This window comes from Homo sapiens, chromosome 9, assembly GCF_000001405.40.
Source record: "Homo sapiens chromosome 9, GRCh38.p14 Primary Assembly".
Lineage (NCBI taxonomy): Eukaryota > Metazoa > Chordata > Mammalia > Primates > Hominidae > Homo > Homo sapiens.
The window spans coordinates 111,541,444-111,567,819 of record NC_000009.12 but is presented as its reverse complement, the minus strand read 5'-3'; the positions used below and the strand labels follow the sequence as shown (position 1 = coordinate 111,567,819).

At 41.1% G+C, this 26,376-nt stretch overlaps 2 protein-coding genes across 15 annotated transcripts in view, besides 2 other annotated features; one reads left to right on the top strand and one right to left on the bottom strand.

Annotated features, from left to right (window-relative positions):
• Positions 1 to 18,098, top strand: part of PTGR1 (prostaglandin reductase 1) — a 49,926-nt gene extending 31,828 nt beyond the window's left edge. For 4 of the 8 annotated variants that reach the window (XM_011518394.3, NM_001146108.2, XM_017014485.3 and 1 more), the window contains one exon: positions 4,589 to 5,253. In XM_011518394.3, coding sequence (XP_011516696.1) covers positions 4,589 to 4,593 — 5 coding nt within the window. In that variant the 3' untranslated portion in view covers positions 4,594 to 5,253. Of the gene's footprint in view, positions 1 to 3,557; positions 3,663 to 4,588; positions 5,254 to 18,020 lie in introns of those variants that run through there. The other 4 variants (XM_047423009.1, XM_047423010.1, NM_001146109.2 and 1 more) reach the window with 3 other exon arrangements.
• The window catches only part of ZNF483 (zinc finger protein 483), a 52,958-nt gene that overhangs the window by 10,317 nt on the left and 16,265 nt on the right, over positions 1 to 26,376 (bottom strand). For 5 of the 7 annotated variants that reach the window (XM_017014337.2, XM_017014338.2, XM_047422863.1 and 2 more), the window contains one exon: positions 12,403 to 26,163. The exons of the other annotated variants lie outside the window; for them this stretch is intronic. In XM_017014337.2, coding sequence (XP_016869826.1) covers positions 24,650 to 26,163 — 1,514 coding nt within the window. In that variant the 3' untranslated portion in view covers positions 12,403 to 24,649. Of the gene's footprint in view, positions 1 to 12,402; positions 26,164 to 26,376 lie in introns of those variants that run through there. 7 annotated transcript variants of the gene reach the window in all.
• Positions 22,389 to 22,558: an enhancer, noted in NCBI's record as "experimental_105871 CRE fragment used in MPRA reporter constructs". NCBI's record gives its function as "activates a minimal promoter by MPRAs in K562 erythroleukemia cells, with activity observed for both the introgressed and non-introgressed 9:114307627 variant alleles {active_cell/tissue: K562}" and the evidence as "EXISTENCE:reporter gene assay evidence [ECO:0000049][PMID:34662402]".
• Positions 22,622 to 22,791: an enhancer, noted in NCBI's record as "experimental_105867 CRE fragment used in MPRA reporter constructs". NCBI's record gives its function as "activates a minimal promoter by MPRAs in K562 erythroleukemia cells, with activity observed for both the introgressed and non-introgressed 9:114307394 variant alleles {active_cell/tissue: K562}" and the evidence as "EXISTENCE:reporter gene assay evidence [ECO:0000049][PMID:34662402]".

Here is a 26,376-nt window from a genome sequence, read left to right as displayed (position 1 = left end):
CCTGACTTCCCGCAACAGTAGTGGACTCTACCTGGCCTCCCATCTTTGCATCCCTATAGACAATTCCCAATGTGGTGGCCATAGCGATCTGTTAAGGCACAAATCAAATCCTGCCGTTCTTATGATCCAAACCATGCAAAGCTCTGCATTTCACTTAAAGTAAACCAAAGTGCTAATATTCAGTAAGCTTACACAAAATCTGACCCCTGATATCTCTCTGATTTCATTTCTTAGTATTCATCCTCTTATTTACTTGGCCCAGTCTCCTCCACCCCTCTGTAACTGCTTGCTGAATTCTCTCACGTCCTGCAAGCCTTTGCTAAAAAGTGCCGTCTGGACTGGCACGGTGGTTCACACTTGTAATCCCAGCACTTTGGGAGGCCAAGGCAGGTGGATCACAAGGTCAAGAGATCGAGACCATCTGACCAACATGGTGAAACCCTGTCTCTACTAAAAATACAAAAATTAGCTGGGCATGGTGGCGTGCACCTATAGTCCCAGCTACTTGGGAGGCTGAGGCAGGAGAATCGCTTGAACCTGGGAGGCGGAGGTTGCAGTGAGTCAAGATCGTGCCACTGCACTCCAGCACAGTGACAGAGTACAACTCCATCTCAAAAAAACAAAAAGTGCCTTCCAGGTGAGGCAAGTTTTTAAATGGCCCTATTTTAAGTTGCATTCCCTCTTCATTCTTGATCCTCCATATCCCACGCCCCCCGACTTTTTTTGTTTTTTTTTTTTGAGACAGGGTCTCAGACACCCAGGCTGGAGTGCAGTGCCGTGATCATGGCTCACCACAGCCTTGACCCAGGCTCAGGGGATTCTCCCACCTCAACCTCCTGAGTAGCTGGGACAACAGTCATGTGCCACCACACCTGGCTAGTTTTTTTGTGTTTTTCGTAGAGAAGGGCTTTCACCATGTTGCCCAGGCTCCTATCCTACTTTTATCCATAGCAATTAATCATCTTTTAACATAATATATACTATAATTTACTTATTCATTTATATTTATTGCACATCTCCCTTCTTGAGGATGTAACCTCCATGAAGACAGCATATTCATACATTTTGCTTTCTGGTGTATCTCCAGCCCCCAGAATAGTATATGAAGCAATGTAGGCACTGAATAAATATTGCTGAATAAATGAATGTTAGAGGGGTGCATACATGTGCCACAGCTCTTCCAGGTCCCAAGTAGCAAATAAGACAATCCCTTAGTCCTGTGCTGTGATAATTTTCAAACCTTACACCATGTAAGTTTTAGTCAACAGAAATCTGAACAATCAAGTTGCATTATTTTAGTTTTACAGGGGAAAAATGACATCATGTTTCCTAATCCCTGGCCAATGATCATTTCCCAATTCCAAAGAATAGATTGCTCCTCCAGCAGCCACTGGAGCTTGGCACTCTTCCCAGTATAGCACTTGCAGTGCCGGGCTGGGCTGTCACCAGGGAGCTGAATCTAAGTTGTCCCAGTTGGTGAAATCTAATGTAACCCATCTGTGATCACAGTTGACAACAGGAAACCACTGTGCTGGTGTCCCCAGTGCTTCCCTCTAACAAAGTGAAGCTGATCATAGTTAGTTAGGTGTTTATTTATTTATTTATTTATTTATTTTTGACATGGAGGCTCACTCTGTCGTCCAGGCTGGAGTGCAGTGGCGCGATCTCAGCTCACTGCAACCTCTACTTCCTGGGTTCGAGTGATTCTCCCACTTCAGCCTCCCAAGTAGCTGGGATTACAGGTGCCCGCCACCATTCTCGGCTATTTTTAGTAGAGATGGGGTTTCACGATGTTGGCCAGGCTTGTCTTGAACTCCTGACCTCAAGTGATTCTCCTGCCTCAGCCTCACAAAGTGCTCGAATTATACGTGTGAGCCACCGCGCCCAGCCCTAGTGGGTTTTAAGTCGTGAGTTGGCCTAATTTCTTTCACATACTCCCTTTTTAATCTCATTCCCTATTTTTTAAAATTCACTTTTTATTTTAGAAAAGTTTTAGGCTGGGTGCGGTGGCTCATAGCTATAATCCCAGCACTTTAGGAGGGTGAGGCAGGAGGACTGCTTGAGCCCAGGAGTCCAAGACCAGCCCTGGCAACATAATGAGACTCTACAAAAAACAAAAAGTTAAAAAATTAGCTGGGTGCAGTGGTGCACACCTGTAGTCCCAGCTACTCGGGAGGCTGAGGTGGGAGGATCACCTGAGTCCAAGAGTTCAAGGGCTGCAGTGAACTCTGAATGTGCCACTGTCCTCCAGCCTTGGCAATAGAGCAAGACCCTGTCTCAAAAACAAAAATAAAAATAGAAGTTTTAGATTTATAGGAAAATTGGGAAGATAGTACAGAGAGCTCCCATATACCCTGCATCCTATACCCTAATTTCCCCTATTATTAACATTTTACATTAGTATTTGTATTAGTTTGTTAGGTCTACCAAAATAAAGTACCACAGACTGGGTGGCTTAAACAACAAACTTATTTTCTCACAGTTCTGGAGGCTAGAAGTCTAAGATCAAGGTGTCAGCAGGGTTGTTTCTTTGCAGGCCTCTCTCTTTTCAACTTGTAGATGGCTTCCTTTTCCCTGCATCTTCACGTGGCCTTCTCTCTGTGTGTCTATGTCCTAACCTCCTTATAAGCACACCAGTCATATTGATTAAGGCCCACCTGTGTGACTTTGTTTTACCTTAAGTACTTTTTTTTTTGAGATGGAGTTTTGCTCTTGTTGCCCAGGCTGGGGTGCAATGGTGCGATCTCCGTTCACTGCAACCTCCGCCTGCCGGGTTCATGTGATTCTTCTGCCTCAGCCTCCTGACTAGCTGGGATTACAGGTACACGCCACCACGCCTGGCTAATTTTCGTATTTTTAGTAGAGACAGGGTTTCACCATGTTGGCCAGGCTGGTCTCGAACTCCTGACCTCGGGTGATCCACCCGCCTCAGCCTCCCAAAGTGCTGGGATTACAGACATGAGCCACTGCGCCCGGCCTCTTAATTACCTTTTTTTAAAAAGCCCTATCTCCAAATATAGTCCCATTGTCAGGCACTGGTGATTAGGACTTAAACATATGGATTTGGATTGGGGGCATACAATTCAGTCCATAACAGTATTCGTTCTCTATTTATAACCTCTGAACTGGATTCTACCTTTCCACCCTATCCAGATTCCTTGCTTCTTCAAGAATAAGAATGAGTTGGGGCTTTCAAGTCAAAAGTTCAAATCTCAGCCAGGCGCAGTGGCTCATGCCTGTAATCCTAGCACTTTGGGAGGCTGAGGTGGGCGGATCACTTGAGCCTAGGCCTTTGAGACCAACCTGGGCAACCTAGCAAGACCCCGTCTCTACAAAAACTAAAAAAATTAGCTGGGCATGGTGGCACATCCCTGTAGTCCCAGCTACTCAGGAGGCTGAGGCAGAAGGATCACTGGAGCCCAGGAGGTTGAGACTGCAGTGAGCTATGATTGTGCCACTGCACTCAAACCTAGGTGACAGAGTGAGACCCTGTCTCAGAATAATAATAATAATAATAATAATAATAATAATAATAATAATAAAAGTTTAAATTTCAGCTTCCCTACTTTGTAATTGACTGACTTCAAGCAAATAATCTTGTCTATAAATCCATGAAGAGTGCTAAGCCATCACTGGAATACATTAGCGAAAAACTTGTATCAGGTAACTCAGGTCTCTATATAAGACCCCTTAAAAAAATCTGAAAATGTAAATTAGTTCCCATTAGTAGGCTGTGCCTTGTAGGAGAAAGAGAAATGAAGACCCTTTCTCACTAACATGAACCCTTCCTTCCCACACTCCCAGATAAAGGTTAAACACATGTTAAAAGAACCTTGGCTTAAAGGGGAGACAGATTATTAGACTGTCCTGCCATTTATATTTCCTGAATAGGACCTGCCTCTTCAGGGGCCAGAGGTAATGAAGGGTGCTCTTTTCTCTGTCTATTTGTACCTCCTCTGAGATCATTGTGTTATTAAACTTTACTATGCATCTTATTTAGAAATTGCTTAATCGCTCTGGGCACGGTGGCTCACGCCTGTAATCCCAGCACTTTGGGAGGCCGAGGCAGGCAGATCACGAGGTCAGGAGATCGAGACCATCCTGGCTAACACGGTGAAGCCCTGTCCCTACTAAAAATACAAAACAATTAGCCGGGCATGGTGGTGAGCACCTGTAGTCCCAGCTAGTCGGGAGGCTGAGGCAGGAGAATGGCATGAACCTGGGAGGCGGAGCTTGCAGTGAGCCAAGATCGCGGCACTGCACTCCAGCCTGGGCAACAGAGCGAGACTCTGTCTCAAAAAAAAAAAAAAGAAAGAAAAAGAGATTGCTTAATCACTGCCTTATGACATTTCGCACTATGATCCGACACCTATTATTTCTTCTTAGGTGTACTTTGTAATCTTTTTTACATGTACTGTGTAAGTGGATCTTGCCCCACCTTGACTTCAAGTTCATGGAGGACAGGACTTCCATCTCTTATTTTCAAGGTTTCCAATGATGTACCTGATAAATTTGTTGCTAGGATGAGAACAGTATATCATTGAGAATATTAAATTAAGTTTTAAAATTTGTTGTTGCTTTGATACAGGGTAAAATCCAGTACAAGGAATATATCATTGAAGGATTTGAAAACATGCCAGCTGCATTTATGGGAATGCTGAAAGGAGATAATTTGGGGAAGACAATAGTGAAAGCATGAAAAAGAGGACACATGGAATCTGGAGGCCATTTAGATGATTAGTTAATTTGTTTTTCACCATTTAGCAAAAATGTATACTACCTTAAATGTCTTAAGAAATAGTACTCATAATGAGTTTGAGCTACTTAATAAAATACATTTAAGTGGTATGTAATTAGTGATGGAGGATGGAAGTTTCAAAGTCAACAACAACCAGTCACCTCACTGTTCACTACAGCTTCTTCTGAGTTGTGGTAGAAAATAATGGCTTTGAAGTGTGAAAATTTTCCAAACACTGTATGTTTTCATTCATAAGTGGGAGCTGAACAATGAGAACACATGGACATAGGGAGGGGAACAACACACGCTGGGGCCTGTGGAAGCCGGGGTGAGGGAGGGAGAGCATCAGGATAAATAGCTAATGCCTTCGGGGGCTAATACCTAGGTGATGGGTTGACAGGTGAAGCAAACCATCATGGCACACGTTTACCTATGTAACAAACCTGCACATTCCACACAATTATCCCGGAACTGAAAATAAAATAAAATTAAATTAAAAAAAAAAGTTAGCCGGGCGTGGTGGCTCATGCCTGTAATTCCAGCACTTTGGGAGGCTGAGGTGGGCAGATCACGAGGTCAGCAGTGCAAGACCAGCCTGACCAACATGGTGAAACACCGTCTCTACTGAAAATACAAAAATTAGCTGAGTGTGGTGGCACATGCCTGTAATCCCAGCCTCTTGGGAGGCTGAGACAGGAGACTCACTTGAACCTGGGAGGCGGAAGTTTCAGTGAGCTGAGATTGCGCCACTGTACTCCAGCCTGGGTGACAGAGCGAGACTCTATCTCAAAAAAAAAAAAAAAAAGTTTACTGCTTCTGTGACCTTAGACTTCTGATTTTTCATCTTTAAAGTGAGGATAATAACATCTTTCATATACATGTTATACATTTATTTAAAACACCAGCATAGGCCGGGCGCGGTGGCTCACGTTTGTAATCCCAGCACTTTTGGAGGCGGAGGCGAGGTCAGGAGTTCAAGACCAGCCTGGCCAACATGGCAAGACCCTGTCTCTACTAAAAATACAAAAATTAGCTGGGCATGGTAGCGGGTGCCTGTAATCCCAGCTACTCAAGAGGCTGAGGCAGGAAAATCGCTTGAGCCCAGGAGGCAGACGTTGCAGTGAGCCGATATTGTGCCATTGCACTCCAGCCTGGGCAACAAGAGCAAAACTCCATCTCAGAAAAAAACAAAACAAAACAAAACAAAAAAACAACAGCATAATGCCTGGCATATATTAGGTAAGTGTTAGCTACCTCCCTGCCGATATCAGTGATTTTGAAGTCTTAAGATTACCACCCCTATTGCTTGTGATTATGCCAGAAGAAATAATCACTGCAGGCATATAGGGGTCTTAGGGCCAGTCCATACTGGTCCTCTACAGATGAGTCTAATTATTCAACACACCAAAGAAGGAATCTGTCATTCACAGAGCTGCACAAAAGATAACACACAGGAATGTCTATACATCTACAAAAATGTGCAAGATTTATATGAAGAAAAACTTAAAACATTACTGAAGGGCCAGGCATAGTGGCTCACACCTGTAATCCCAGCTCTTTGGGAGGCTAAGGTGAGATCATTTGAGTCCAGGAGTTTGAGACCAGACTGGACAATACCCCACATCTGCAAAAAATTTTCAAATTAGCTGGGCATGGTGTGTGCCTATAGTCCCAGCTACTTGGGAGGCTGAGGCAGGAGGATCACTTGAGACCAGGAGTCTGAGGTTGCAGTGACCTGTGACTGTACCACTGCACTCCAGCATGGGCAGCAGAGTAAGACCCTGTGTCTAAAAAAAATTAAAAACAAAACAACAACAAAAGCAACATTACTGATGAACACAAAAGAAGACTTGAACATATGGAAAGGTACCATACTCTTGGACAGGAAGAATCTCTCTCTCTTTCTCTCTCTCTCTCTCTCTCTCTCTCTCTCCCTCTCTCTCCTCTCTCTCTCTCTCTCTCTCTCTCTCTATATATATATATATATATATATATATTTTAGATGGAGTCTCACTCTGTTGCCCAGGCTGGAGTGCAGTGGTGCGATCTCCACTCACTGCCACCTCTCTCTCTCTCTCTCTCTCTCTCTCTCTCTCTCTCTCTCTCTATATATATATATATATATATATATATATATTTTAGATGGAGTCTCACTCTGTTGCCCAGGCTGGAGTGCAGTGGTGCGATCTCCACTCACTGCCACCTCTGCCACCCGGCTTCAAGCGATTCTCCTGCCTCAGCCCCCTGAGTAGCTGGGATTACAGGCATGAGCCACCATGCCTGGCTAGTGTTTTGTATTTTTAGTAGAGATAGGGTTTCACCATGTTGGTCAGGCTGGTCTCGAACTCCTGACCTTGTGATCCGGCCACCTCGGCCTCCCAAAGTGCTGGGATTACACGCGTGAACCACCGTGCGTGGTGCCTTTTTTTTTTTTTTTTTTTTTTTGAGATGGTGTCTCTGTCTCCCAGGCTGACGTGCAGTAGCATGATCTCTGCTCACTGCAACCTCCGCCTCCCGGGTTCAAGCAATTCTCCTGCCTCAGCCTCCCAAGTAGCTGAGATTACAGGCGCCTGCCACCATGCCCGGCTGATCTTTTTTTTTTTTTTTTGAGATGGAGTCTCGCTCTGTCACCCAGGCTGGAGTGCAGTGGCCTGATCTCGGCTCAGTGCAACCTCCGCCTCCAGGGTTCACGCGATTCTCCTGCCTCAGCCTCCCGAGTAGCTGGGACTACAGGCGCCCACCACCACGCCTGGCTAATTTTTTGTATTTTTAGTAGAGACGCCCTGTGTTGGCCAGGATGGTCTCGATCTCCTGACCTCGTGATCCACCCGCCTTGGCCTCACAAAGTGCTGGGATTACAGGCGTGAGCCACCATGCCCAGCCTGATTTTTGTATTTTTAGTAGTGATGGGTATTGCCATGTTGGCCAGGCTGGTCTCGACCTCCTGACCTCAGGTGATCCACCCACCTAGGCCTCCCAAAGTGCTGGGATGAGGCACTTTGGGAGGCATAAGCCACCATGCCCGGCCAGAAGATTCAGTATCAGTCAGAAAGATGTCAATTCTATTGATCAATTCTGCCATCATAGAGATAAGGGGTTAAATAAATTGTAGTACAATGAAACAATGGGGAGAAGAGTGTCTGTACAAAAACTCTGGAAAGATGTAATACACTTCTAATATGGTTTGTCTTCAAGGAAGATAACTAAGGAATGCCTGAAGGACAGGGATAAGAGAAAAAAAAGTCACTGCCCGTGTCCTCTTTTCTTACCAAACTATTCAATCCTAAAGACATTAGAAGGAGCCAAGCAAGGTGACTGTCTGCTGGGGTTTGGGGTGGGAGAACCTCTATGGCCCACAGCAGAGCAAAGAGGTCATGCACCGAGGCTGGCTGCCTGGCACAGGGAGTCAAAGCCCAGAGCTGTGTGTGTGTGTGCTGTATGTGTGTGTGTGTTATATATGTATGTTGTATATGTGTGTGTGTGAGTGTGTGTGTGTGGACACTGGTGAGCAGGAAGAAGGAGGGGTTGGGCAGTGTGTTGTGGCCTGATGAGGGGAGTTGGAGCCCAAGCAAAATGAACATGGCTTGAGTCATAGCAGGGTTTCCCAGATGGTGTATCAGAGCCCAACAACAGTGAAGTCATCCGTGTGGGTAGGGCAGGGGCAGCAGGGCCTGATTGAGGGTGTCAGAGTCCAAGTAGGGTGAGAAGGGCATTGGAATCGCAGGGCTGCCTGGTGTGAGGAGTCAAAGTCCACACAGTATGGAGGGCATCGTGCCTGGGGGCAGCTTGGCATGGAGTTTAAGGGCCCAAAGTAAGGAAGGTGTGCACGTGAAGGGGTGGCCTGGTGTGAAGTATGTGATCCCTAGCAGAGGTAGGAGGGTATCACGTGCGAGTGAGTGACCTGGTATGGGCGGTTGGATCCCAAGGAGGCTGAGGAGGTGCTGATGCATGGATAGCTTGGCAGGGAGGTCAGAGCCTGAGGGGAGCTTCTACCTGGCAGCATGGCCCAGCATGAGCAGACAGAGCTTTGGGAAGGAAAGACTAACCACATGGGGAGGCAAGAGTAGGGGCCAGGAGCTGCAGGATGTCAGAGCTTGAGAGGAATGGAGGAGCATCTGCAGGAGAGGGGGTAGTGGTGGTGATAGAAGATGGTTACATACAGAAGGTTTGATCAAACAAGTAAATTAAAGATAAGGGAAGCCAGAGTTTCTCACTGTCAGAGAAGGGAGTTACAAACATGGGAAGAACCTTGTGGTGTTAGATTGGAATTGGAGGTATTGGTATGAACTCATGAATTTCAATGTGTATGAGACAAAAAAATAGGTATGTGTGTATATATCATATGTACATAGACACACATATAAATGAGTGTGTGTGCACATATATATATAACTCTGCCCACTAAGAGGGCCTGAAAGTAGTGACACTCCAATAGCAATGAACTTATCTAAATTCCAGATTGTGGATTTTATATATTATTCTCTACTAAAAGGAACCAGAAATGGTTTGTTCTGGGGCTGGGGTAGGGAAGATACAAGATGAGCTTGCAACATTTTCAGTTTTCTTTTTTTAAGAGGATTCTTGCTATGTTGTCCAGGCTGACTTCAAACTCCCAGGCTAAAGAGATCCTCTTACCTCAACCTCCCAACTAGCTGAGACAACAGGCATGTGCCACCATGCCCAGCCTGGAGCATCTTATACCATAAATCAAAGAAGTGCTCAAAGAATAATGAAGTCATGTTGAAAGAACACAGCCAATTTGAAAGGGCTCCCACTAGACAAATCATGGAAAATTTGAGCTCCATGTAGATAATGATAATTACAGATTATATACTATTGAATTAAAAAGGGAAACCATGAGTCCGTACTGAGACAAATACCTGAATACACTGAAAACTTGATGAGGAATGGAGTACTTCCATAGTTTTTTTTTCCGAGACAGAGTTTTGCTCTGTCACTCAGGCTGGAGTGCAGTGGTGCAATCTCGGCTTAGTGCAAACTCCGCCTCCCGGGTTCAAGCAATTTTCCTGCCTCAGCCTCCTGAGTAGCTGGGACTACAGGCGCGCACCACCATGCCTGGCTAATTTTTGTATTTTTAGTAGAGACAGAGTTTCACTATTTTGGCCAGGCTGGCCTCGAACTCTTAACCTCATGATCTGCCTGCCTTGGCCTCCCAAAGCGCTGGGATTACAGGCATGAGCTACCATGCCCAGCCCTACTTCCATAGTTTTAACATACTTCACCACAGAATACTTTTTAATTACCAAGGGTAAAGAAGTTGTTTAAAGTGAAGAAGCCTACCACCACTGAATCAAGTGGTCAAGGTTAACATCATCCATAATGAGACAAATGGGCCGGGCACAATGTCTCACACCTGTATTTCCAGCACTTAGGGAGGCCGAGGTGGGCGGATCACTTGAGGCCAGGAGTTAAGACCAGCCTGTCCAACACAGTGAAACCCCGTCTCTACTAAAATACAAAAATTAGCAGGGCATGGTGGCACAGCCACTCGGGAGGCTGAGGCATGAGAATCACTTGAACCCGGGAGGCGGAGGTTGCAGAGAGCTGAGATCACGCCATTGCACTCCAGCCTGAGAGACAGAGCGAGACTCCATCTCCAAAAAAAAAGCAAAAAAAAGATAATGAGTTTTCCTGTTCAACGGCATGGTACCTTTCCATGTGTTCAAGTCATCTTTTTTTTTTTACTGGAGATGGAGTCTCGATCTGTCGCCCAAACTGGAGTGCAGTGGCACCATCTCGGCTCACTGCAACCTCTGCCTCCTGGGTTCAAGCAATTCTCCCACCTCAGCCTCCCAAGTAGCTGGGATTACAGGTGCATGCCATGATGCCCGGCTAATTTTTGGATTTTTAGTAGAGATGCAGTTTCACCCCGTTAGCCATTCCATGTGGTAGAAAAGAAAAACCAATTTTCTGGGGAGGAATTCAAGAAGGCTGCGGAAATGCTGCATGAGGAGCTGAATGTTAATAGCCAAGACAATGGGGAAAATGCTTCCAGGGCATTTCAGAGATCTTCGCGGCAGCCCTTTCCATCAAAGGCCTGGAGGCCTAGGAGATAAAAAATGGTTTCACAGGCCAGGCCCAGGGTCACACTGCTCTGTGCAGCATCAGGACATGGAACCATGCATTGTGGCCACTCCAGCTCCAGCCACGGCTATCACAGGTGAAGGTATAGCTTGGGCTTAATTGACTCTCAGTTCCGCAGGCTATACAGGAAGCATGGCTGGGGGGCCTCAGGAAACTTACAATCATGGCAGAAGGGCAAAGGGGAAGCAAGCACATCTTCACATGGCAGCAGGGGAGAGCAAAAAGGGGGAAATGCTACACACTTCTAAACAACCAGATCTCATGAGAACTCACTATCATGAGAACAACAGGAGGGAAATCTGCCACCATGATCCCATCACCTCCCACCAGGTCCCTCCCGCAGCATTGGATACAAACCCTAAACCTTGGCAGTTTCTATGTGGTGTTGGCCTGCAGGTGCAAAGAAGACAAGAGTTGAGGTTTGGGAGTCTCTGCCTAGATTTCAGAGAATGTATGGAAATGCCTGGATGTCAAGGCAGAAGTCTGCTGCAGGAGCACAGCCTTTGTGGAGAACCTCTACTACGGCAGTGCAGAGGGATAACATGGGGATGGAGCCCCCTACACAGTGGAGCTGTGAGAAGATGGCCACCATCCTCCATACCCCAGAATGGTAGATCCACCAACAGCTTGTGCCATGCACCTGGAAAAGTCACAGGCACTCAACAGGCCTTGAGAGCAGCCATGGGAATTGTACCCTGCAGAGTAACAGGGGCAGAGGTGCCCAAGACCTTAGAAGCCCACCCTTTGCATCAGCATGCCCTAGATGTGAGACATGGAGTCAAAGATTATTATGGAGCTATAAGATTTAATGACTGCCCCACCAGGTTTTGGACTTGCATGGGGCCTGTAGCCCCTTTGTCTTGGTCAATCTCTCCTCCTTGGAATGGGAGCATTTACCCAGTGTCTGTACCCCTGTTCTATCTTGGAAGTAACTAACTTGTTTTTGACTTGTGATTTTACAGGCTCATAGGTGGAAGGGACTTGCCTTGTGTCAGAAGAGACTTTGGACTTGGACTTTTGAGTTAATGCTAGAATGAGTTAAGACTTTAAGGGACTGTTGGGAAGGCATGATTAGCTTTGAAATGTGAGAAAGGACATGAGATTTGCGAGGGACCAGGGTGGAATGATATAGTTTGGCTCTGTGTCCCCACCCAAATCTGTTGAACTATAATCCACAATGCTGCAGGAGGGACCTGGTGGGAGGTGATGGGATCATGGTGGCAGATTTCCCTCCTGTTGTTCTCATGATAGTGAGTTCTCATGAGATCTGGTTGTTTAGAAGTGTGTAGCACTTCCCCCTTTTTGCTCTCCCCTGCTGCCATGTGAAGATGTGCTTGCTTCCCCTTTGCCCTTCTGCCATGACTGTAAGTTCCTGAGGCCTCCCAGCCATGCTTCCTGTATAGCCTGCGGAACTGTGAGTCAGTTAAGCCTCTTTTCTTCATAAATTACCCAGTCTCAGGTAGTTCCTTATAGCAGTGTGAGAACAGACTAATACACATATTGTTTAGAGGAAAAATTTTATTAACAGAGCACAGTAGAAAATAGCACAACGGCCTTCTGATGGGGTACTAATGAAATATGGAAAGATTTAGGAGGTGGAGGCATCAGGTTTTCTGGAAGTAGGGAGAAAATCAGAGGCTAAAGAGTTTGAAAATGTGCACAGAACAGTTTGAGCTCAAAATGCCACTCCTACCTTATTTTGCCAGGTGATTATCAATTCACCACAATTCCCACAGGAAATGAGAGGCATTATCTTTTGCCAAATAGAACTTGATAGGCTATTAACTTGGGTACCCTGGGCCTGGAGGAGGATGGAAATAAGATAGAAGACTAAAAACAGGATACTAAGTGGAAGTCTGAATAAAAGGGGATGAACTCCAACTCCTATCCCACCATGTGGCGTGCCTCTGCCTGCTCGCCAGTAATGGTAGCCAGGCTTATATCCCCCATGCTGACTAGAACATCCTTCTCTGGGGAAATTAAAGAGCAGACCTCTGGAGAAATTACACTTCTCAAAGAAAAATTAACAGGCACTGACATTTAGGGTCCCAAAGGCAAAAAGTAGGTCACACTCAAAGCATCTAACTCAAAGACCCTGGACTTCAGTTGTAGACCCTGAGCAGATTAGACTTTGGATTGTCTCCCTTGGGTAAAATACAGTGGTCTCCCCTTATTCAAAGTTTCACTTTCCGTGGTTTCAGTTACCCTCAATCTTGGCCCCAAAATTTTAAATAGAAAATTCCAGAAATAAAAAATTCCAGTATGTTCTGAGTAGCCTGATGAAACCTCTTGCCATCCTGCTCCGTGCCTCCTAGGACACAAATTATCCCTTTGTCCAGCATATCCATGTCATCTACACTACCTGTCTGTTAGTCACTTAGTAGCCTTCTTGGGTTATCAGACTGACAAAACATAGAACATACAGGGTTTGGTACTATCTGAGGTTGCAGGCATCCACTCGAGGTCTTGGAGCATATCCCCCATGGATAAGGGGGCTACTGTATGCATTAAGTGTGGGAAGAAAGAGTTTGGTGACCGAAAGAACAGACTGTGGTAGAAATAATCTATGTGCTCACCACAATGAGGGGAAAGCTGTATTTCAAGCCTCCCTTTAAGTTAGGTTAGGGTTATATGATTGATCTCTGGGCAACGGAAGAGTAGAAGTGACTTCTAAGACAGAGGTTGACTTTCTTAGTTACAGGATCTGTAGTACCATGGCCATTTTTCCACAATGCTCCCAGGCAAACAAACAAAAAACCCATTAACTATCAATTCCATTTGCTAAGTAGTTAGTTCCAATAACATAATAGTAGTAGTTTGTGATGTCAATAGTTGTAGTTGTGATAATCTCCAGATTTTAAAATATCCTGGGAAGCCTGTGTGAGATCTCTAGAGTGGAATGGGAAACCTTGGCACCGAGTTTGAAACCTGTGGTTCTCAGCTGTTTCTAGGCTAGTGCTTAAAAACACTGCACAATGCTCCAGTTCTTCCTTTCCCTGCCTCTGGGACGTTGGAAGTTATGTGCTCCACACAGCATGACTACAAAATATGGGAAAGCAACAAAATGCTGGAAAGACCCCTGGGGAATAAACTTTCATTCAGTTAAGCTACTCCAATTTGTTGGGTTCTCTGTGGCTAGGATTGCGTAGAGCAACTTAATATGGTAGTCACTTGAGGCTAGTGAGAAATGGAAATCCACACAGTGCCACATTTCACAATTTTAAAAACAGAAGCAGAGTCAAATACTTTTCCACTAAACGTATCTTTATTTTGATAGAACTACAATTCACTTTAACCACTGCATTGCATAGGACACTGTTGTATTATAATGCTTGTACAGGAACGTGCATTATCACTAGTGTTACACATAAACACGTCACCAATCTAGTCAGTATCAACAGATTGATTTGAGTTCAGATGATTTTTTTTTCTATGCACGGATGTAAAATCACAATGTGTTTACTTGGATATTTTATGCAGATAGCACAAGATAGAGTATACCTATGCAAACAGCACAAGTTACAGTGATACCTATGTAAATCAGAATCCTAAAATGAGATACTTAATATTTTCATTATAATTATTTTCTAGGTTAAAAAAATGAAAAAATATTTAAATTTTAAACAAAGGCATATTACTGAGGCAGAATTCAGTGCAGATACAGAAGCTGGTACTACAACTGGCATAGTCAAGAAGACTAGAGACAGTATAGTGCACATTTAATGATGAATGGCAATTGCAATTTACTGCAGCAGAGCAAAATGGAAAAGCTGTTTGTTCTATTCAAAAGTGTTAAAGATACATAGTAGATAATACTTAAGACAATATTTAAGACATGTAATTTTTAGCAACCATTTAGTGAGTGTAAGTCAAAAAAGAATACACAAAATTACTCATATGAACTGCGAGTGAAATTTCTAACAAAACAATTTAAACAACTTTTAAAAGGGTCTGAGTTTGTAAACCTGGCAAGCTATAAAATAGCTTCTTACACATGCATCTACAAAGAACCTTAGATGGAGAGATGAAGAAATTATCACTTTATCGTATTTAGAAAATTATGAGGAAAAGACCTTAAAAGACATTCATGAAAACTGAAAACGTCAATGAAACCATTAAACAATTTTGCTCTTGGATATACATGAACAGAATATATTTTTGCTAATAGAATATTTATATTTTAATAATAAAGACCAATTAATTCAAATCTTGAAAAATTTCAAGTATTTTTCTTTAGCCTTAGATGAACTGTTTGATACAAGACACTGCCCAAAGAAAACTCTGGGTATATTCTGTCTCAAAGAACCTCCAAATTTACAATGTCGATTCATGTAAAGGCAATGAAATGTGAATTCATTGCCTAAAGGCTCAAACTCATGGCAGATATTTTTGACAATCTTCCATCTGTCAAAGAATTTCAGTTAGAGACAGAAAAGTTAGTTTCTATCACAAGGATGGAACTCCAGCTAAGTTAAGTCAAAAGACCATCCATGTTGGAATTTTAAAGCAAGAGGATAACTTTTCCCTCATTGCTCTATTCTATTGCATGATACATACTGAAAATATTTGTGTTCAATTTTCTGAAGCAGACTCCAAGAAACGAGTCACGGATACATGTGTTATAATTCTTCAGTACATATGCACAAAAGCTATAGAATGTTGACAGTTTATGAAACTTCTGAAAAAAAAAGACAATGTATCTAATGATCTTGTTTCTTTACCAATGTTACCTGGATGACTTACAAAAGAATTTTATAAGGATTTCCTGTACTAGAAAATCCAATTCAAGATTTCCTTGAAACAAAAGAAATGCTTACCAAATATTCAATCAAAGACAAAAAGTAGCACTGTGATTCACATTTTCTCCCTAATATCACGCTGCATATGAACAAGCTAAATTTGAAGCTCCTAAAATGGGAAAAACTTGTGACCTGGCTAGACAGGTAAAAGAATTTATTTACAATAGAAACATTTCATAATACAAATAAAACAGAATAACTCACATTTTTCAAATGAGACAATATGCACAAAATTTTAAATGTAATAAATGGCTGCAAAAAATAAGCAAAATCTGAAGAATGATATATTGTATTGATAAACTGTTTTGTTTCCATTTATGCACTGCTTCATCAAATTTGATGCTAATAAACTGAATTGATATGTTACTGAATTTACTTAAAAAGTTTTGAAAGTGATATAATTTTGCCTAGATATTAAATGAATTTTTCTAATAAAAGTTTTGTTAATGTGGATGCAAATTTTAAACAAAAATTGGGGTTGTGTGTGGCGGTTCACACCTGTAATCCCGGCACTTTGGGAGGCCGAGACAGGCAGATTGCCTGGGCTTAGGAGTTGGAGAACAGCCTGGGCAACACAGTGAAACCCCGCCTCTACTAAAATAATTAGCCAGGCGTGGCAGTGTGCACCAGTAATCTCAGCTACTGGGGAGGCTGAAGCAGGAGAATTGCTGGAACCCAGGAGGCGGAGGTTGCAGTGGACCAAGATTGCGCCACTGCACTCCAGCCTGGGCAACAGAGTGAGACTCCATCTCAAAAAAAAAAAAAAAAAAAAAAAAACAAAAACTGGATACTTGATTCAGTTATTGGAAAATTAAGTATATTTAGAACAACAACAAAGTATGTTTGGAAGAACTATGTGAATCTACTTATCAACTCTACGTTTTATAAATCTAAATGTGAGTTATGTATTACAAATGAAAATTTTGTGTGTAGATTAACACATTACATACCAGATTTCAAAAATAGTGCAAAAAACAAAATGTCTCAATACTTTTTTACATTGATTACATGATGAAATAATATTATGGATATATTGGGTGAAGTAAAATACATTTTTAATTTTACCTGTTTTATTTTCTAAAAGTGGCTACTAGAAAATTTGAAATTATGTATGTGGCTCACATTATATTACTGTTGGATGGTGCTGAAGTACCTAAAACACCTTCCAATCAGCTTTTTAGAGCCCTGCTCTTAAATATAAATAGTCAAAGATCATCAGAGGCTTCAGGAAAGCCTCCAGTGTGAGAGACAGAAAACAGGTGAAAACAACTCAAAGGAAACAGGGATAATGCAGGGAGCAGAATAACACAGAAAGACACTATAATTAACATGCTCAGAGAAAAAATATTTCACCTATGAAACAAAACCAATTAGAAAAAAGGAAGAAAGAATCAGATAATGCACTTGGAAATAAAAATATGACAGCAGAGATAAAAACATTCACAACATTTAATAGTAGAGCTGGAAGATAAAGTTGAAGAAATCTTCAAGAAAGCAGGAAAAATCAAAGACATGGATAGAGTGGCCCAGGAATCCACCTCTCCACCTAGATAATAATTACATCGGCAGAAAGTTCCTAAAGTGATTATTTTGGGAGCACATGAGTCCATCTGAACACTTGTAGCTTCTAGGGGAAATTCTGAGTGGTAAATTGCAGTTAACATTGGTGGATTTCAGCCTTCAGTGAAGTAGCAGCTACCCATCCCCACCCACTCCATGGCAGGCAGCTGTGGAGACACAACCCCACATTTCTGGGTCAGCTTGCTGCAGCCAGGGTGGACAATAATAGCCACTTCCTCCAAATATCAGGGTTCTGATTGCAGATATCTACTTCTGATCACAGAGAAAGAGCAGACAAAGAAGCAAGCTACCATTCTCCCAACCCCCAACTGGCTAAAGTGGCTTCCAGGAGAAAAAAGGGATGAAACCTGTTTTTCTGGACATTCAAAAAACTGTGTATCTAGGTGAATTCAGAAAGCCATTGCTCCCGCCCAGGGAAAAACGCAGGCTCTGTAAAGAATTGAGACAACTTTAGGCATTCAACACAGGCTGATCCCTAGCACAGAGACAGCCTATGACAGTAAAACAAAAACGAAAACAAAAAACACACAACACAAAAAACAACAACAAAAAATAAACCCTGGGGAAAAAGGAATAATCTTATTTCCAGAGTTGCCACATTATAAAATTCAAATGTCTAGCTGTCAACAAAAACAATCACGATGCATACAAAGAAACAAGTATTGACCATTCAAAGGCACAAAATAAACCAACAAAAAATGGACATGAGGAAGACCAAACATTGACTCACTAGACAGACTTTAAAGCAACTGCCTTAAAGATGCTCAAAGAGCTAAATGTTCTGATTGTGTTGACAGATCAAAAGAGAAAATGAAGAAGATTGAAGCTTCAAAGCAGAAAAATGAAGGGAATATGTATCATTCACCATTACCTTAGAAGGCAAGGGTCCACTTTACAAAAGGACTACAAACATTTAGAAAATCAATGGGGAACCCTGCTGCCGCTGCCACCACCACCACGACCGCTGCCCCAGAAGAGCTACAGGTAGGTTTAGCAAAGCTTGTAGATTATCGACCCACTCTGATAATCTACAAGGGAGACAGACCTGAGAACTCCAACCTGGAAGAACCTCTCAACATCAGACTTCATAAAAAAGACTCTGAGAGAAAGATACCTCACCAATTTCTCAGGGTGAAAAACACTTTGCTTGGAAATCACAACTTACTGAGCACCAAAAGATTCATTCAGCAGAGGAACCTCACATGTGTTGTGGCTTGAGAGAAGCTTTCTTAGTTCAGACCTTTATAGACACTAACATTTCCACACAAGGGAGAAACCCTAAAATGTGCTACATTTTATGAAAAGCATTTTGACAGTGTGTTTTCAGAATTGTAAGATATTTCTCCCCAGTGATCAAGAAATTCCTCATCTGATAAACTATTCCGAGGGGAAAACAAAAGAGCAAAACAAAATTAAATCTTTATTTATACACTCACACACACAGAGAACCTCCAGTGACTCAGTGACTCTCTATTGCACTGATAATAAAGCAATAAACCACTCTACAGAACTGGAAGGGTCTTTGTGGTGCAGGTTCTGAACTATGGCAACAAGCACTGCAATTGACTCCTACCCTCACCCCACAGAGACACCAAGACAAGTTATAATCAAGCTGCTGAAATCCAAAGACAAAAGGAGAATCTCAAAAGCATCAAGAGAGAAGCAAATCATCACATAAAAGAAATCCTCAGTGAGACTGTTGATTGCTCATCAAAAACCTTGGAAGCCAGAAGGCTGTGGCGTTGTTATACTCTTAATGCAGAAAGAAAAAAAAAAAAACTGTCAACTGAGAATTCTATATACAGCAAAACTGTCCTTCAAACAAGAATTTATCAATAAAAGGAAATTACCTTAACATAATAAAGGTCAAATATGAAAAGACCACAGCTAACATCATACGGAATGATATAAAATAGAAAGCATTTCAGGAAAAGGCACAGATGCCTGCTTTTGCTACTTGTATTCAACACAGTACTGGAAGTCCTAGCTAGAGCCATTGGCAAGTTAAAGCCATCCAAATTAGGAAGAAGGAAAAATTATCTATTTGCAGATGCCATAATCTTATATTTAAAAATCCCAAAAATTTCACAAGAAACTATTATGACTAATAAACAAATTCAGCAAAGTTGCAAGATACAAAATCAACACTCAAAACTCAGTTATGCTTCACTAACAAAGACCCATTTACAACAGCATCAAAAACATAAAATACTCAAGAATAAACTTGACCAAGGAGGCAAAAGACTTGTACAATGACAACTGTAACACATTGCTGAAAAAATTAAAGACGGCACAAATACATGGAAAGACACCTGGGGTTCACAGACTGTAATGTTTGTTATTGTTAGTATGTCCACATTACCCAAAGCGATCTACAAATTCAATGCAAGCCCAATCTTCATGCCATTTTCCACAAAAACAAACAAACCATCCTAAAATTCATTTGAAATCTTAAGGACCCCCAAATAGCCAAAACAATTTGGGAAAGAACAAAGCTGGAGGCCTCACACTTCCTCATTTCAAAAACATACTACAGGAAACGTAGTGTAATCCTGATTACAAAACATTACTGGAGTAATCAAAATAGCATGGTACTGGCATAAAGACAAACATATAGACCAAAGAAACAGAGCAGACAGCCAGAAATAAACATGCATGTATATGGTCAAATGATCTTTGACAAGAGTGCAAAGAATACATGATGTGGAAAGGATAGTCTCTTCAACAGATGGGGCTGGGAAAACTGGATATTCGCATGCAAAAGAATGAAGATGGACCCTTTACCATACATAAAAATCAAAATGGTTAAAAGACTTAAACATAAGACCTGAAACTATAAAACTCCTAGAATAGGAGAAAAGCTTCATGACATTGGATTTGGCCATGGTTTCTTGGGTATGACCAGAAAAGCACAGGAAACAAAAGAAAAAATAGAAAAATTAAACTTCACCAAAATTAAAACCTTCTTTCAAAGGGCATTAGGAATAGAATGAAAAGGCAACCCACACAGAATGGAAGAAAGTATTTGCAAATCATTTATCTGAAAAGTTCTTTATATATTCTGGATATATTAAGAACTTCTACAACTAAACAACAACGCCAACAAAACCAATTAAAAAATGGGCAAAGGACTTCAATAAACATTTCTCCAAAGAAGAGATACAAATGGTCAATAAGCACATAAAAAGACAGTTAACATCACTAATCACTAGGGAAATGCAAAACAAAACTAGAATAAGATGCCACTTCAAACCCATTAGGATGTCTATTATAAAAAAGAAATAGAAAATAAGTGTTAGCAAGGGCGGGGATACTGAAACCCTTGTACATAGCTGGTGGGAATTTAAAATAGTGTAGTTGCACTTCCTCAAGAAGTTAAATATAGAATCATCATAAGATCCAGCAATTCTATTTCTAGGCATATACTTAAAAGAACAGAAAGCACCACTGATTATAGCAATGTTATTCTTGATAGCCAAAATGGTGCAAACAACTTAAATGTTCACTGGCAGATAAAAGGATAAACAAAATGTGGTATACAAGTAAAATGGAATATTATTCAGCCTTAAAAAGGAATTAAATTCTGATATGTGCTACAACACGGCCGAACCTTGAAAACATAATGCTAAGTGGAATAAGCCAAACACAACAGGGCAAATATTGTATGATTCCATTCATACCAAGTAATTAGAACAGTCAAATTTGTACAGACAGGAAGTAGAACAGTGGTTACCAGGAGCCTGAGGAGGAGAAAATGGGGAGTTACTGTTTAAGGAGTACAGAGTTTCAGTTTGGGATGATGAAAAAGTTCTGGAGATGGATAGTGGTGATGACTGCACAAAATGTGCATCTATCTAAATGCTATTGAGCTGTATAACCAAAAAGTGTTTAAATGGTTCATTTTAAGCTATATGTATCTTACTACATTAAAAAATAATTCTAAAATAAATAAAATGACTTTATTGACCAAAACCTTGCCTTGTCCTGTGACATGAAAAAAATTTATACACGCTCATTAAGAGGAAACATTATTTAAAGCAAGGACTTCATTTTAAAGTAAAATGTGTCACAGTGCTCTTCATAAAAGCAATCCTATAATGAATCAAAAGACGTTTAAAGCCTTTTGATAATCTGACTTAATCCAAAAGTGAATTTAAATATTTGGGTGATGGGCCAGACTGAATGTCCTGCAGGCAATTATACAGACTTAACTACTGAAATCAAGACTTTGATAAATATTATCCAACAGAGTTTGGGCTGCTCTCTGTAGCTAGTACATGGTATTTAGAAAGTTCATATTGGATAAAGGACTTATATCCAGAATAAAAAGGACTACAACACAGTATCAGCAAACTCCAATTTTAAATGGACAAAAAATCTGAATAAACATTTCACTAAGATACATGAATGGCTGAAGAGCACATAAAAGATGCTTTGACATTATTCGCCATCAGGAAAATCAAAGTTAAAACCACAAAGGAATATCATTTCAAACGCTAGGATGGGCATAATTTTTAAAAAACAGACAACAATGACTGGCAAGACTGTAGAGAAATGGGAAGCCCCACACATTACTAGTCAGAATGTAAAATAATGCGGTCACTTTGGAAAACAATTTGGCAGTTTCCTAAAAAAGTTAAATGAAAATTTACCGTATGACCTAGCAACTCCCCTCAGGCATCTGCCTAAGAAAAATGAAAACATGTCCACACAAAGACTTGTACACTAACGTTCAAAACACTTGCATACCAATGTTCAAAGCAGCATTATTCCTAACAGGCAAAAACTGGAAAAACCTCAAATGTTCTTCAACTAGTGAATGCACGAAGCATCCACATAATGTAATATTATTTATGATAAAAAGGAATAAAGTACTAGTATGTTACAACATGGATGAACTTAAAACACATTAATGAAAAAAACACAGAAAGATCACATATAACATAAAATGTACAGAAAAAGACAACTCTAGAGACACAAAGTCGACTGAGTAGTGGGTGCCTGGGATTAGAGGTTGGACGGGAGATTAACTGTAAACTGGAATAACGGATCTTGCTGGGATGATGTTCTAAAAAATGGATTATGGTAATGGTTGCACAACTCAGCATATTTACTAAAACTCACTGAATTGTACACTTGAAATGGTTTTAATGATATGTAATTTGTACCTCAATAAATTCCTTTAAAAAAAAAGTTTATACTCCAGATTCCCAATGGATACTGGGATAAAACATTGTTATGAATGTTAGGGAGTCTAAGAGTAATCATCTTGGAACAAGCCTCTTCTGAAGACTTTTACGTTATTTCTTCAACTTTCTATAAATTATATTTTTCAGAAAACAAAACTTACAACAAGTTTTCTGTCTTTTCAGAAAAAAACTTAAAACCATTATGAATGATTCTCATAATAAACATTCCTTTCATGGCTAGGATGTGATTCGTTGGTCTGCTTAGCAATAACTATGCGGACCAATTTATCACACGGCAATATTTAAACTGCAGGCTTGGGGTTGGGGAGGCACCAAAAACCTTCTCCCAGAGGTAGCATTTCACACCTACATACATTAGTCACAGTAAATGTTCCTGAGTCTAAGATTAGCATTAAGGATCGCTTTACTTCCATAAGTGAAGAGTTTTCTGGTTTAGCTCTCTTTTTATAGGAGGTGCCCACAATTTCAACTTTAGGAACTTATTTCTAGACCACTGTTGAGTCCATGGGGTTCCTCCAGAACCCTATGACCTGAAGCCAAAACCTCACTCATTCAGGGCCTTAAGTTCCTTTTTCAGTTGGAAATTATTATTCAGACTCCACCAATGAAATTTATAAGGAATAATCCACCAATACCCGTATATTCCATTCCTCTGAGGTCTAATTTCACAAAAGAAAACTTAACTGAAAATTTTTTCTGTATCAATTCTACATTCATTCCCTGAACTTTACTTGCTATCAGTGCAGTCTCTTTAGATTTTAGGGTATCTATTCTCCAAATGGTAGGGGTTATAATAGAACATTCATACAGTGGGAAAGTCAGGTGACATACATGAGAGAACTAGCTAAGTCAGAAAGTTGATTCCCCATCAAAAGGTGGCAGCTGCTACCCAGGACCAGCTGAGTGCTTTACATAAATAAAAGCCCAGTGTTGTTAGCCCTTATAATTTTTTTTAAGACAAGCTTTGTTTTTAGTATGAAATGCCCTAATTTTAGATAGTGGCAACAATGTATACACACACACACACACACACACACATGCACACACACCCAAGCAAATTGTTATAACAGCTTTTAACTGTTGCCACACAGAATGTTTACACTCCAATTGCAAAAAAATGTACTTGCTACAGGCAAAATTGTTTTAAAGTAGAATTTTTGCAAACCAAAATCCATCCAGAATAGCTCTGTCTTCAGCACATTTCCTTACCCCCAGCCCCCATCTATTTTCCTAGGACTGTTACTCTCACGGCTGAGATGGCTCAGGTGCAAGCTCTCTGGCTTCTCAGTCCTGTTGGCCAATGCCCAAAAGAAAAAGAGTTCCCTTGTCCGATTAAAATACTCCCTCAAGGAAAAGTCGTTTGAACTTCACTGACCCATTCCTAGTTACAGCATTTGAGGGATTCCTGCACGAAGTTTTCAAAAAGTATACTGCATTCTCACTAAGCTAGAAGTCCAGCATCCTAGGAACCAGGCTTGATGGAGTGTACCCGTAATGTCAGCTACTCAGGAAAGTGAGATGGAAGGATCACTTGAGCCCAGGAGTTCAAGACCAGTCTGGGCAACATAGTGAGACTCCATCCCAAAAAAGAAAAATTGAAAAAAAAAAAAGAAAAAAAAAAGAAAAGAAGTCCAGCATCCTGAATAGTGGTATTGTATTTTTTACTAGAGAAACTTGAAAGTAATGACAAATAAAAAAAAATAACTTATGTCCACAGCTTCAGAGATTATCAGGATACCAATAAAAAACTAAAAAACCAAAAAAGGCAAAAATCATTAATCCCATCCCTTCATTCTGCTGGTGACGAAAATAAAATTCTGAAAGGTCAAATGACTTGTCCAAGGTGTATACAGCAAGTTGGTTGGCAAACTGGGACAGAATCCAAGTTATGTGACTGCAGTCAAGTTCTCTCCATCACACTACATGGTAGTAGAAGAAATCAGAGAGAAATCCCCTGAAGAAAAGAGCTTTTCCAATTCGTCTGGCCTCAGAATCATTTTGCATTCTTCCCTTTCCAGTGACTTTACCAACTAATTACTGTTTACCAGTCGTTGCCATCCTTGAAAAGAAGAGGGATGAATGGGCAAAAGGATATTTTTCCTAACTGCCAATTTACGAAAGCTGCAGCTACTGATCAATACTGTAAGTTTACATCCCAGGGTTTCAGTAACTGACAATTTGAATTAAATTCCCCCCACTTTAATGTAGTTCCAGGATTACTCTGCAGAGTGAAATCCCCGATGTCTAATGAGGCCTGAATTACTTTTAAATGTCTTCTCACATTCGTTACATTCATATTCTCTCCTTCCGGTATGAATTTTTAGGTGTTCTACAAGGATTGAGCTTCGACTAAAGGTTGCACCACAATAGTTACACTCATAGGGTTTCTCTCCTGTATGAATTCGGTGGTGCTCATTAAGAGATGAACTCTGACTGAAGGACTTCCCACATTCTTTACATTTATAAGGTTTTACACCAGTATGAATTCTCTGATGACGACTTAGCAGTGAATGGGTTGGGAAGGCTTTCTCACACTGGTTACATTTGTAGGGTTTTTCTCCTGAATGAAGTCTTTGATGATAAATCACAGACGTAAAATGGCTAAAAGTCATTCCGCAATCATTACACAAATATGGTTTTTCTCCAGTGTGAATTCTCTGATGCCGGGTAAGGCATGAATTCTGCCTAAAGGCTTTTCCACATTCGCCACATTTATAGGGTTTCTCTCCAGTATGAATTCTCTGATGTTTGGAAAGGGATGAGCTATGACTGAAGGATTTTCCACAATTGCTACATGTATAGGGTTTTTCTCCAGTATGAATTCGCTGATGTTGAATAAGAGATGAACTGTCACTAAAGGGTCTCCCACAGTCTTTACATTTATAAGGTTTTTCTCCAGTATGAATTCTCTGATGTTTAATGAGGTGAGCACTTAGGGTGAAACCTTTCCCACAGTCATCACATTTGAAGGGTTTCTCTCCACTATGAGTTCTATGATGTGGTGTGAGCGATGAACTATCACTAAAAGCTTTTCCACATTCATTACACATATAGGGTTTTTCTCCAGTGTGAATTCTCCGATGTTTGGTGAGTGAGGCGCTATAGCCAAAGGCTTTTCCACACTTACTACATTTATGAGTTTTTTCTCCACTCTCATTTCCCTCATCTTTATTTAAGGCTGCTTCTTGACATGAATCTTTCCGACATTTCTCACACATAGGGGTTTTTCTCCTAGAAAGAGTTGATCTTCTAATAAAGATTATCCCACACTTACTGCATTTTTGGGACCTATCCCCCAAATGAATCTTCTGACGTTTCTGATGTTCAGTAAGAGCTGAAGAGTGACTCAGGACTTTCCCACCATCATTAGATTTCCGTGACTTTTCTCCGGCGGTTTTCTCCTTGCGGTTCAGAACAAGGTCTGAATGAAAACTGAAGGGTTTCTTGCTTTCATTATACCTCCGAGATTTCTTCCTCAAGTAGACTCTCAGATGTTTAATTAAGTCTGAAGTTTCTTTGAAATTATGTCCAAAGGGGCTTTTATCTGGGTCAAATTTCTTACCCCTACTGCCACTCCCAAGAGTTTTGTTTTGTGCGACTCTTCCTTTTGAATTTCCCTGATTACCGTGATCCTCCTCTGAGCTGCCACAATATTGCTGGGATTCTTCCATCAAGCCATGATCATCATCCCTGAGGCACCTTTCTATTATTTTATCTAAAGCTGATTCATCTAAAAGATATAAGAAATAGAATATTTCCTGTTTGCAAGAAAGGAAGCTGTTGTATTTTGGGTCTGAAATAGGAACACATTAATAACTATAAGGAATATAGTTTCGATGGTTCTCAAAAAGAGCTTTGTAAAATAGAAAAGGAAAAGGCAATATAGGGAAACAATGTAAACACATGGGTTAAGAAAAACATTGAGAAAGATGAAAAGTTTGTG